Source organism: Homo sapiens, chromosome 19 (assembly GCF_000001405.40).
Source record: "Homo sapiens chromosome 19, GRCh38.p14 Primary Assembly".
NCBI lineage: Eukaryota > Metazoa > Chordata > Mammalia > Primates > Hominidae > Homo > Homo sapiens.
Genome location: NC_000019.10, coordinates 51,428,115 through 51,440,508, shown reverse-complemented (window position 1 = coordinate 51,440,508; position 12,394 = coordinate 51,428,115). Strand labels below are relative to the sequence as shown.

The following is a 12,394-nucleotide window of genomic DNA, read 5'->3' as shown; positions in this document are numbered from 1 at the left end:
AATGTTTGTGGCCTATGGAAAAACACGTTTCTGTTAGTTTCAACGGGAAAATAATGCATTCATTGTCACTAAAGTTGTCTGATTGACCTGACTCAGTATTTGAGTATAAATGACATCCCCAGAAGATATGCAAAGTGGACCTTCTGCCTTTAGCTCCTCTGAAGCACTTTTCACGCCCTGCCCTTGGGTCCTGGATCCCCACTGGAGAAGCAACAGCTCTGCACCACTACTGTTAATTATTCATGGCTGCATAGTATTCCACTGAATTTGATGTGTGTTGACTTATTCAACCAATACCCTATTTAGGAGCATTAAGCTTTTTTCAATTTGTTTTGAAACAGGGTCTTGCTCTGTTGCCCAGGCTGGAGTGCAGTGGCATGATCATGGTTCACTGCAGCCTCAACCCTCCAGGCTCAGGCAGTCCTCCTGCCTCAGCCTCCCGAGTAGCTGGGACCACAAGCATGCACTACCATGCCTAGCTAATTTTTTTTTTTTTTTTGTAGAGACAGAGTCTGCCTATGTTGCCCAGGCTGATCTCAAACTCATGGACTCAAGCAATCCTCCCACTTCAGCCTCCTTAAGTGCTGAGATGTAGGCTTGAGCCACTATGCCCAGCCAGTTCTTTCCATTTAAAAAATATATATAGACAATTTTTCCCAGAAGCATATGACGGGATAGACATAATTTTTAGAGCAGTTTAGGTTCACAGATTGAGCAGAAGGTACAGAGATTCTCCATATACCACCTGCCCCCACACATGCATAACCTCCTCTATTATCAGCATCTCCCACCAGAGTGGTACATTTGTCATACTTGATGAACCTCCATTGATACGGTATTAGCACCCAAAGTCCATCGTCTATATCAGGGTTTACTATTTTGTATACACAGCAGCATGCACAGCTTTTGCCTAGTCCGATTTGTAGATCCATGAAGAATCCCAGAAGTAGACTTGTGTGGGAAACACATGAACCTTGCCCAGAGAGAAATCTGGCCTTCTGGAGCACCTTGTCCAAAACCCTGTCTCTTCAGTCAGGAATAGCAGTATCCAGGGCTCACCTGGGGGCGGGTGGCAGCCTGGGGAGCAGACCCAAGGAGCTCTCAATCCATTTCTGGAGCCCAGCTTTGTACCTTCTTACCAAGAGAGCAGAACGTCACAGTCCCTCCCGGGGCAAAGTCCTGCCCGGTGCAGCCAGAGTGCACACTAATGAACAGCCACTCCTCCCCATTTATCAGGCCTGGAGACCAAATGGAATGTTAACCTGGGATTTTTGAGGAGCTGTACACAAGGTGGGGTTCCCTACCTGCTCCCTACCAGCATCCTTGGGGCCCTGTCTAGGCAAACCCCATCACCCCAAATGTATCATATCACTAGGGGGAGCCACAGAGTTGCACAATGCATCAACCCTCATCTTTGTCTACAACCTCTGGTAGGAGTAAGAAGTGGATAGAGAAGGTGAGAGGCAGGACCTCCCAAACGGCTTCCAGAGAAAATGGGAGTGGGAAAAAAAAGTGACATTAACAATAGCAATAACATTACCAATAACCTCAGATAGTAACTACTTCCTGTAGTTACCATTCCTGTTTGGTAAGATTGTAAATCTTTGTTTTTGGGGGTTTGTTTTTTGTTTGTTTAGTTTTTTTTTTTTTCTTCTTCTTTTTTGAGACAGAGTTTCTCTCTCGTTGTCCAGGCTGGAGTGCAATGGCGCGATCTCGGCTCACTGCAACCTCTGACTCTCAGGTTCAAGCGATTCTGTCGCCTCAGCCTCCCAAAATAGCTGGGATTGCAGGCGCCTGCCACAACGCCCAGCTACTTTTTGTATTTTTAGTAGAGATGGGGGTTTCCCTATGTTGGCCAGGCTCGTCTCGAACTCCTGACCTCAGGTGATCCGCCCGCCTCGGGCTCCCAAAGTGCTGGGATTACAGGCGTGAGCCACCGCACCCGGGGAGTTTGTAAATCTTGACATAGGTTAGTCTCTGAGTGACAGGGTGGGAGTCAGGTGTCAAGAAGCATTTGGGAGTCAAAAAGGGTGGAGGAGATTGGTGCAGGGATCCTGGCAAATCTCTGGGTGAGCAGCAGGGGGCGCCCTGATCAGGGCAGGGAATGTTGAGTTGGATACACAGCCATAAGGGGGTGTCATGGGGCTGTGGGAAGTCCACGGACTCTGCCTCAGAAGGGAAATTACTTGATCTCTGTATGCCTCAGCGTCCTCATCTGCAAAGTGGACATCAGAGCTCCTACATTTATTAGCCTGAGAACAAAAACCAGGCAGAATAAATGAACAACCACAGCAGCAACAACAAACAAGAACAAGAGCCAAAAGCAAACAGAGAGATGAGCCCTTATATCATCGGACCCTGAAATCCAGCCACCGTTGAAGCCAGGTCTACCCCTCTGATTTCCAAGACAACAGAAATCAATGCTTTTTTTCATTAAAAGCCAAAAAAAAAAAAAAAAGCATGCTATAACATTGAATAGAAACAACTATGATTTTGAATGTGAATATTAATTATACTCTTGTGGTTCCTGGGCATTGCCTGATGCATGAATTGTGGGAGAGGCAATGAGAGCTGCTACAAAGCCCTATGGAGATGGAGATCATGCAGCAAATGGCCAAGGGCCATGAGCCTTAGAAAACCTGTCCTGGGGTCGGGCGCGGTGGCTCACGCTTATAATCCCAGCACTTTGGGAGGCCGAGGTGGGCGGATCACAAGGTCAAGAGATGGAGACCATCCTGGCCAGCATGGTGAAACCCTGTCTCTACTAAAAATACAAAAATTAGCTGGGCATGGTGGTGCGCGCCTGGAGTTCCAGCTACTCGGTAGGCTGAGGCAGGAGAATCGCTTGAACCAAGGAGGTGGAGGTTGAAGTGAGCCGAGATCGCACCACTGCACTCCAGCCTGAGTGACAGAGTGAGACTCCGTCTAAAAAGGAAAAGAAAAGAAAAGGAAAGGAAAAAAGAAAGCCATACACAGTGGCTCACATCTGTAATCCCAGCACTTTGGGAGGTCAAGGCAAGTGGATCATTTGAGCCCAGGAGTTGGAGACTAGCCTGGGAAACATGGCAAAACACCATCTCTAAAAAATAGGAAAAAAGAGAAAACCTGTCCTTATAAATTATGATGGCATCTCTACATGCAAACCTGTCTCCAGAGAAGGCACATTCCCATCCGCTCAATGCTGCTCATCCTCCTTAAGGAACTGAATAAAGCTGGGCATGATGGCTCACACCTGTAATTCCAGCATTTTGGGAGGCCAAGCTGGGAGGATTACTTGAGGCCAGGAGTTTGAGACCAGCCTGGCCAACATAGCAAAACCTCATCTCTACCAAAAATTCAAAAAACTAGTGGGACGTGGTGACACACGACTGTAATCCCAGCTAGTTGGGAGGCTGAGGTACAAGAATCTCTTGAACCAAGGAGGTTGAGGCTGCAGTGAGTCAAGATCATGCCACTGCACTCCTGCCTGGGTGACAGAGACTCTGGCTTGAAAAAAAGAAAGAAATTGAATGAGCTTTTTGCCCAGTGAGGAAAGATTTCTTGTATGTAAATTCATGTGCTCTTCCTTGTTCATCAAAAGTTATTTTCTGTACACTTCACATTCTCATTGATTACTAAGAGAAATTCCTCGTACATATCAAGCTTAATTAGCTTGTACTCTATGCCCGAATATCCCTATGTGTCTCACCATGGGGTGATTCCCTGTCCACCTTACCTTTTGAGCTTAAATCTTCCTTGGCGAAATCAGAATAACCTCAAATGAGAGCATAATTTCCTACTAATTCCATGTGCAGCCTCATATTTTCTCTGTTTCAACTTCAAAGTGTTATTTATTTTAGTTCCGAAAGGATGTGTTTCTTCATATTTTCATTTAGAAACAAGGAATAGAATCTAATTGTTGGACAAAAGTCAGAGATGGAAATTCTTATAAAAAATCCTCCTTTCTTTGTCAACAAGCCCAATGTACCCTGAGAATCATTCTTATCATGGATATCGAGTGTGGGAATAGGTCAATGGGGGATTGAACCTTGAACTTCTGAGGGTTTGAACCCAGAAGTTCAAACTCCAGTCAACCTATTCGCTCATAAAAACATGGAGGAAAGAACTGGATGTGGCTCCTCGTGGCTGTCGGGAAGATGCTGTTGGAGCTTACAGGATGGAGGTGTTGCTCTCCCTTTCAGCTGCAGGAACGGCATGAGCCTTGAGCTGGGGAGACCTCACATTGCACGAACATTGCTAGCCAGAGAATGAAGATGGCTCAGGCACCTGCAGCCCACCATGCGGAGAGCAAGAAACAGCACCCTGAGGGTCACATTGGATATCAGTGATGTGCTGATCTTGACCTTGAGTTAGGAGATGTTCCCAGATTCCCCACTGCCTGGGCCAAAAATTAAGCAAACGTGTTTTTTTAATAAAACCCTTCTTTTCCAGATTAAGCTATCGGTTTTCATTTCTGTTCCTTGCAATTTAAAAAAATGAGATTATCGAAAAAATGAGCAGAGGCTTTGCTGTAAGAAATTTCTATATAGATTTTTTTTCCGCATGATTATTTGTTGATCTAAACTCATGGCATGGGAGATGACAAGGTTTCAGTAAAATGCCTGTTATGAACTGCATGTTTATGTTCCCCCAAAATTCATATGTTGAAGCCCTAACCACCAATGTGATGTATTTGGAGATGGGGCTTTTTGTAGGTAATTATGTTACATGGGGTCATGAGGGTGGGGACCCACTATGGAATTAGTGCCTGATATGGTTTGGCTGTGTCCCCACCCAAATCTCATCATGAATTTCCACGTGTTGTGGGAGGGACATTGCGGCTGGTAATTGAATCATGGAGGCAGGTCTTTCCTGTGCTGTTCTCATGATAGTGAATAATTCTCACAAGATTGATGGTTTTAAAAAGGGGAGTTTCCCTGCACAAGCTCATCTCTTGTCTGCCGCCATATGAGACATGACTTTCACCTTCTGCCATGATTGTGAGGCTTCTCCGGCCACGTGGAACTGTAAGTCCATTAAACCTCTTTCTTTGGTAAATTGCCCAGTCTCAGGTATGTCATTACCAGCAGTGTGAAAACGGACTAATACAGTGCCCTTATAAGCAGAGACCCCACAGAACTTGCTGTCTCTCAACCATGTGAGGACACAGTGAGAAGGTGGCATCTACAAGCCAGGAAACAGAGCCTCACAAGAAAACAAATCATCTGACAACTTGATCTTCTAACCTTGGACTTCTAACCTCCAGAATTGTGAGAAATAAATTTCTGTTGTTTATAGGAGGCTTAATTTATAGTATTTTGCTATGGCAGCCCAGACTAGCTAACACAGTGCCCTAACCACATGTATTCCATGTGGCTACAGTATTCTCTGCACAGTGGCCAAGTATGGTGGCTCATGCCTGTAATCCCAGCACTTTGGGAGGCTGAGGCTGGTGGATCACTCGAGGTCAGGAGTTCGAGACCAGCCTGGCCAACATGGTGAAACCTGGTCTCTACCAAAAATGCAAAAGTTAGCTGGGTGTGGCGGCGGGCGTCTGTAATCCCAGCTACTCAGGAGGCTGAGGCAGGAGAATCACTTGAACCTGGGAGGCGGAGGTTGCAGTGAGCTGAGATCGCACCACTGCACTCCAGCCTGGGCAACAGAGTGAGACTGTCTCAAAAAAAATTATACAAAGACACTTTATTTGTAAGGTAATATTTAGAAGTTCAAGGAGCTGAGACTGTATTTCTTTGGGTGGCCATTATTCAGCTTGCTGAGCTGTCCATGTGATCTCTTATGCATTGGAACTCTTGTGCATTGCTGATGGGAAAGTTAAATGGTGAAGTTGCTCTAGAGAGTAGTAGTGGGGTTCCTCAAAAAAATTAAAAATAGAATGATCTTATGATCCAGCAATTTCACCTCTGGGTATATGGCCCAAAAGATCAAAAGCCGGAACTTGAGCATAGTTTTATGCATCTGTGTTCACAGAAGCATATTCACAGTAGGTAAAAGGGAAAAGCAACCCTGCTATTCCTAAAAAGTGAATGAATAAACAAAGTGTATTGTATACATGCAATTGAATATTACTCAGCCTTAAAATAGAAGGAGAAGCTGGGCTGGGGCATGGTGGCTCACGCCTGTAATCCCAGCACTTTGGGAGGCCGAGGTGGGCATATCACTTGAAGTCAGGAGTTCTAGACCAGCCTGGCCCACATGATGAAACCCCATCTCTGCTAAAAATATAAAAATTAGCCAGGCATGATGACATGTGCCTGTAATCCCAGGTACTCGGGAGACTGAGGCAGCAGAATCGCTTGAACCTGGGAGGCAGAGGTTTCAGTGAGCCCAATCATGCCACTGCACTGCAGCCTGGGCAACAGAGCAAGACCCTATCTCAAAAAAAAAGAAAAAGAAAAAGAAAACAAAAAACAAAACAAACAAAAAAACCAAGGAGACAGGCATGGTGGCTCACACCTGTAATCCCAGCACTTTGGGAGGCCGAGGCAGGTGGATCACCTGAGGTCAGGAGTTCGAGACCAGCCTGGCCAATATGGTGAAACCCCATCTCTACTAAAAAAAAAAAAAAAAAGAAAAGAAAATACAGGCCGGGCACGGTGGCTCACGCCTGTAATCCCAGCACTTTGGGAGGCCGAGGCGGGTGGATCACCTGAGGTCAGGCATTTGAGAGCAGCCTGACCAACATGGTGAAACCCTATCTCTACTAAAAATACAAAATTAGCCAGGTGTGGTGGCACGTACCTGTGATCCCAGCTACTCGGGAGGCTGAAGCAGGAGAATTGCTTGAACCTGGGAGGTGGAGGTTGCAGTGAGCCAAGATGACGCCACTGGACTCCAGCCTGGGCAACAAGAGCGAAACTCTGTCTCAAAAAAAAAAAAAAAAAAAAATTAGCCGGGCCTGGTGGCAGGTGCCTGTAATCCCAGCTACTCAGGAGGCTGAGGCAGGAGAATTGTTTGAACCTGGGAGGTGGAGGTTGCAGTGAGCTGAGATCACGCCATCACACTCCAGCCTGGGCGACAAGAGTGAAACTCCGTCTCAAACAACAACAAAAAAAAAAAAAAAAAAAAAAAAGAAGGAGAAGCTAGCACATGATGCAGCGTGGATGAACCTTAAATATATTCTAAGTCAGTCACAGCAGGACAAACACTGTATGATTCCACTTATATGAGGTGTGTAGAGGAGGCAAATTCACAGACACGGAAAGTAGAGCCATGCTTGCCAGGGGCTGTGATCAGAAAGAAATAGGGGGTTTTCACCTCTTTGATGCAGTTTCAGTTTGGGAAGGTGAAGAAACTTCTGGAGATAAATCATAGTGATTCATAACAACGTGAGTGTACTTGGTGCAACTTCTCTAAACACTGAAAAATAGTTAAAACGGTAATTTTTTTCTTCTGTATATTTTACCACAATTAAGAAAAAAGCTACTGAAGATTTCATAGCCACCTCACCAAAAAAGAAAAGCAGATGGCGAACAAGGCCGTGAAAATAGCCTCAATATAATTTGTCATTAGGTAATTGTAGAATAGAAGAAGAATGAGGTAGAATTACATACCTAAGAAAAATGACTGAAAAGTACAACAAAGGTAACAAGAAATTTTAAAATATGTGGATGATATCACATGCTAGCAAGGATGTGAAGTGATCAGAGCTCATGTCTACTGCTGGTAGGAATACAAAATGGTATATACACTTTGGAGAATAGTTTGTCAATTTTGTATAAATTTAAACTTACACTTGACCAAGTGTACGTCTGACCAAGCACTCGACTCCTAGGTTTTTACTCAAGGGAATTAAAAACTTATGTTCACACGCAGAAAGTTGAATGGAATGTTTATAGCAACATTATTTTAGAGTCACCAGAACCTGAAAACAGTTGCAATGCTCCGCAAATGGCAAATACATGCAAAATGAGAGACCATGAAAACAATGGAGCACCAGTCAACAATTAAACTAAAATGACAGATTTATACCCAGCCCCATAGATGAGCCTCAAAAGCATTATGCCAAGTAAATGAAGCCAGATTTTAGAGGATACATTTTGTATGATTCCATTTATATGACATTCTATAAAAAGGCAAAATGGCAGGGATGGAGAATAGATCCGTGTTTTCTCAGGGACTAAGTGTAGAGGGAGGATTGACTACCTAGAGTCAGCAGAGGGAGGAAATGTTCAGGTAATGACACTTTTCATTGTCTTCACAGCGGTTGTGTATATAACTATATGCATCGGTCAACCCACATAAAATTACATATGATAAAGAATGAATTCAACCATATCTAACTTTAAGTAAATTTTTAAAAATTAAACATAAGATGCCACTGCACTGTCACTAGAACTCTTAAAATATAAAGCATAAGCTGGGCACAGTGGCTCACGCCTATAATCCTAACACTTTGGGAGGCCAAAGAGGAAGAATTGCTTGAGGTCAGGAGTTCAAGACCAGCCTGGGCAACATGGTGAGACCTCATCTCTACAAAAAATACAAAAATTAGCCGGGCGTGGCAGTGAGCACCTGTGGTCCCAACTACTCGGGAGGCTGAGGTGGGAGGATTGCTTGAGCCAAGGAGGTGGAGGTTGCAGTGAGCCGAGATGGTGCCACTGCACTCCAGCCTGGCGAGAGATTGAGACTCCGTCTCAAAAGAAAAAAAAATACTAATTGTTTGCAAGAATATGGACAAGTGGGAGCCCCTTTGCACTGCATGTAAAATGGTGTGACCCTGTGGAAAACTCTTTGGAATTCTCTCCGAAAGTTAAGCCTAGAAATACAGTGTAATCCAGCCATCGATTCCTAGATATGTTCCCAGAATTGAAAGCATGAACTTAAACAGATACCTATACATCAATGTTCATAGCAGCATTATTTACAAGAGCTAAAAGGTGGGGAAAAAAAAAACTCGCGTCCATTGACTGATAAGTGGATAGAAAAAAGGTTCCATATCCATAATATGGGATATTCTTTAGCCTTAAAAATTGAATGGAACTGATACATGCTATAACATGGGTGAACCTTGAAACAACATGCCACATGAAAGAAGCCACACATAAAATGACAAATAGTATATAATTCTGCTTATGTAGCCTTACCTAGAATTGGCAAATTCATGGAGACAGAAAGTAGAATTGCGTATCAGAGGCTGGGGAACAGGGCAAGGAAGAAGGGTGATTGTGCAAATGGTGCAGAGTTTCTGTTTGGGATGATGAGGAAATTCGGTAAATAGTGGTTGCACAACATGGTGAATGTGCTTAATGTCACTGAATTGTACCCTGTAGAATGTTACAAATTGCAAACTATATGTTACATATTGTATAGTCAGGTCTAGCACCGCTATAAAGAAATACCTGGGACTGGGTAATTCAGAAAGGAAAGAGGCTTAATTGGCTCAAGGATCTGCAGGCTGTACAGGAAGCATAGCAGCCTCTGCTTCTGGGAAGGCCTCAGGACACTTACAATCATGACGGAAGGTGAAGGGGAAGCAGGCAGGTCTTACAAGGCCAGAGTAGGAGAAAGAGAAAGAGTAGGAGGCTGGGCACGGTGGCTCACACCTGTAGTCCCAGCACTTTGGGAGGCTGAGGTGGGTGGATCACTTGAGGTCAGGAGATCAAGACCATCCTGGCCAACATGGTGAAACCCTGTCTCTACTAAAAATACAAAGAAGACAATTAGCCAGGCATGGTGATGCATGCCCGTAGTCCCAGCTACTCAGGAGGCTGGGGCAGGAGAATCTCTTGAACCATGGAGGCGGAGCTTGCAGTGAGCTGAGATCACGCCACTGCACTCCAGCCTGGTGACAGAGCAAGACTCTGTCTCAAAAAAATAAAATAAAATAAAATTTATCATCGATATACATACGTGTGTGTGTGTATAAAAATGTAGCACATATAGGGTTTGCCCTGTCTGTGGTTTCAGGCATCCACTGGGGGTCTTGGAAGCTATCCACTGTGGATGGGGGACTACTCTAGAGTAAATCTTTATAAAGTGATGACAAGAGATGATGGGGAAAGAGGATGATAAGAGTATGACAATTCCTCCAATAATTAAAAATAGAATTCACATAGGATCCAGCCACTCCACTTCTGGTCTACATGAAAAGAAGTGAAAGTGGGAACTTGAGGGCCAGGCATGGTGACTCACGAGTATAATCCCAGCACTTTGGGAGGCCGAGACAGGCAGATCACCTGAGGTCAGGAGTTTGAGGCCAGCTTGGCCAGCATGGTGAAACCCCATCTCTACTAAAAATAAAAAAATTAGCTGGGCATGGGGGCAGGCTCCTGTAATCCCAGCTACTCGGGAGGCTGAGGCAGGAGAATCACTTGAACCTGACTGGCAGAGGTTGCAGTGAGCCAAGATCATGTCATTGCACTCCAGCCTGGGCAACAGAGTCCCAGAGTCCGTCTCAAAAAAAAAAAAAAAAAGTGGGAACTTGAATAGATATTTATACTCCCGTGTTCATGGCAGCATCATTCGCCAGAGCCAAGAGGTGGATTTCTGGAGAGGCAGATGAGTAAGCAAAAGGTGGTAAAATCATACATTTGAACCTGTCAGCCTTAAAAAGAAAAGAAATTCTGACACCTGCTACCACAAGGCTGGGCCTTGAGGACATTATCCTAAGGGAAATACAGTCATGAAAAGTCAAATACTGCACAGTTCCACCTACTGAGATTTCTAAAGGAGTCATATTCACAGAAACAGTGAGTACAGTGGTGTTTGCCAGGCACCCAGGACAGGGAAAATGGAAAGTCGCTGTTTTGTGGGTACAGAGTGAATTTTGCAATATGGAAGAGTTCTGGAAATTGGTTGTACAACAGAATGAATATGCTTCACAGAACTGAACCGTACACATAAACATAATGACAATGGTGATGTTTATGTTCTGCATTTCCTTTTTACCAAAATTAAAAGGTATTTGAAAGGGTAAGAGCTGATTGCAGGTAGAGAAGAGAAGTTCACAGGACAGAGCCCCAGGAGAATCCAATGAGGAAGACGCACCTGAGAACCCGGCTGTGTCAGCCTCCCCGCTTATTCCTATGGACGTCCCTTTACCGTGGGATCCAGACCCCATTTCCCCACAACAGTGGGGCTCCTGGACCCCAGAGGCTGCATTGTGTTGGGACCTTGTTTCTCTCACTGCACCGGCTCCCCTCCATCAAGCTTAATAACTCGCAGCTGCATAATTATGTTCATGGTTTATTGTCTGCTCCCTGCACGGGAGAGTAACCTGGATCAGGGTCAGGCAGGCATCTTCCAGGGGCTCTTTCTGTAGCCACACCTGCCCTGCCCAGGCCTCAGGGGCCCTCCATTGAATTCCATAATTTTTTGACTCTTTATTTGGATCCTCAATCCATCACCACCACGTGCGCCAACTCAGAGAGATTATCCGTAATTCCTCAGCCCTAATGTCCTTTTACATAAAATGGAAAGAATAGCATTGAGTTTATTGTAGGATCTGGGGAGGAAGCAGTGCAATTAGTCCTCACCTGTGCTATTTTCCTGTTGCTGCTCTAACAAATTACCCCAGGATTCGTGGTTTGAAACAAGACAATTTCTTTTCTTACAGTTCTGGAGGTCAGAAGGATGGAAGAGGACTCACTGGGCTATAAAATTAAGGCTGATTCCTTCTGGAGGCTCCAGAGGAGACTCTGTTCTTTCACCTTTTCTACCGTTCAGTGGCCACCTGCATTTCCGGGCTCATGGCCCATTTCTTGGTTGTCAGAGCCAACTTCGTGGCATCTTTTCTCCTCTCTGACCTTTGTTCCATCCTCACATCTTGTCTCTCGGACTCTGATTCTCCCCCTTTCCTTCTTATAAGGACACTGTGATCACACTGGGCCCATCTGGATAACCCAGGATCTTCTGCCCATCTCAAGATCTTGAACTTGAACTTAATCACATCTGCAAAGTCCCTTTGTCTTTTTTTTTTTTTTTTTTTTTTTTTTGCAACTCTTGGCTGTTGGCTCTGAAGGATAAAAGTTCCTTTATCTTGTATGGCAACATATTCACAGTTTCCAGGTGATGCAGGGTTTTTGGCTCCTTAGCTCAGCTAGGTCCAGGTTCTTGTCTCATGACCAGGAAAAATTAGGCATGTGGACACTTGAAGATGGAGTGGAGTAGAATTTATTAAGTGAAAGGAAAGCTCTCAGCAAAGAGAGGGTTCCTGAAAGCAGGTTCTCGGTTACCCCCTCACAGTTGAATACAAGGTGTTGTTGTTTTGTTTTTTTGTGTTTTTTTGTAGGTGGGTGGGGTAGGAGTTTTGCTCTTGCTGCCCAGGCTGGAGTGCAGTTGTGCGATGTCAGCTCACTGCAACCTCCACCTCCTGGGTTCAAGCGATCCTCCTGTCTCAGCCTCCTGAGTAGCTGGGACTACAGTTGTGAGCCACGGTGCCCGGCTAATTTCGTAT

The 12,394-nt window shown here is 44.8% G+C and overlaps 1 annotated feature.

Annotated features, from left to right (window-relative positions):
* Nucleotides 1,707–1,877: a silencer, noted in NCBI's record as "fragment chr19:51941886-51942056 (GRCh37/hg19 assembly coordinates)". NCBI's record gives its function as "represses an EF-1alpha promoter that drives an FKBP-Casp9 reporter gene in an ReSE screen in K562 erythroleukemia cells {active_cell/tissue: K562}" and the evidence as "EXISTENCE:reporter gene assay evidence [ECO:0000049][PMID:32094911]".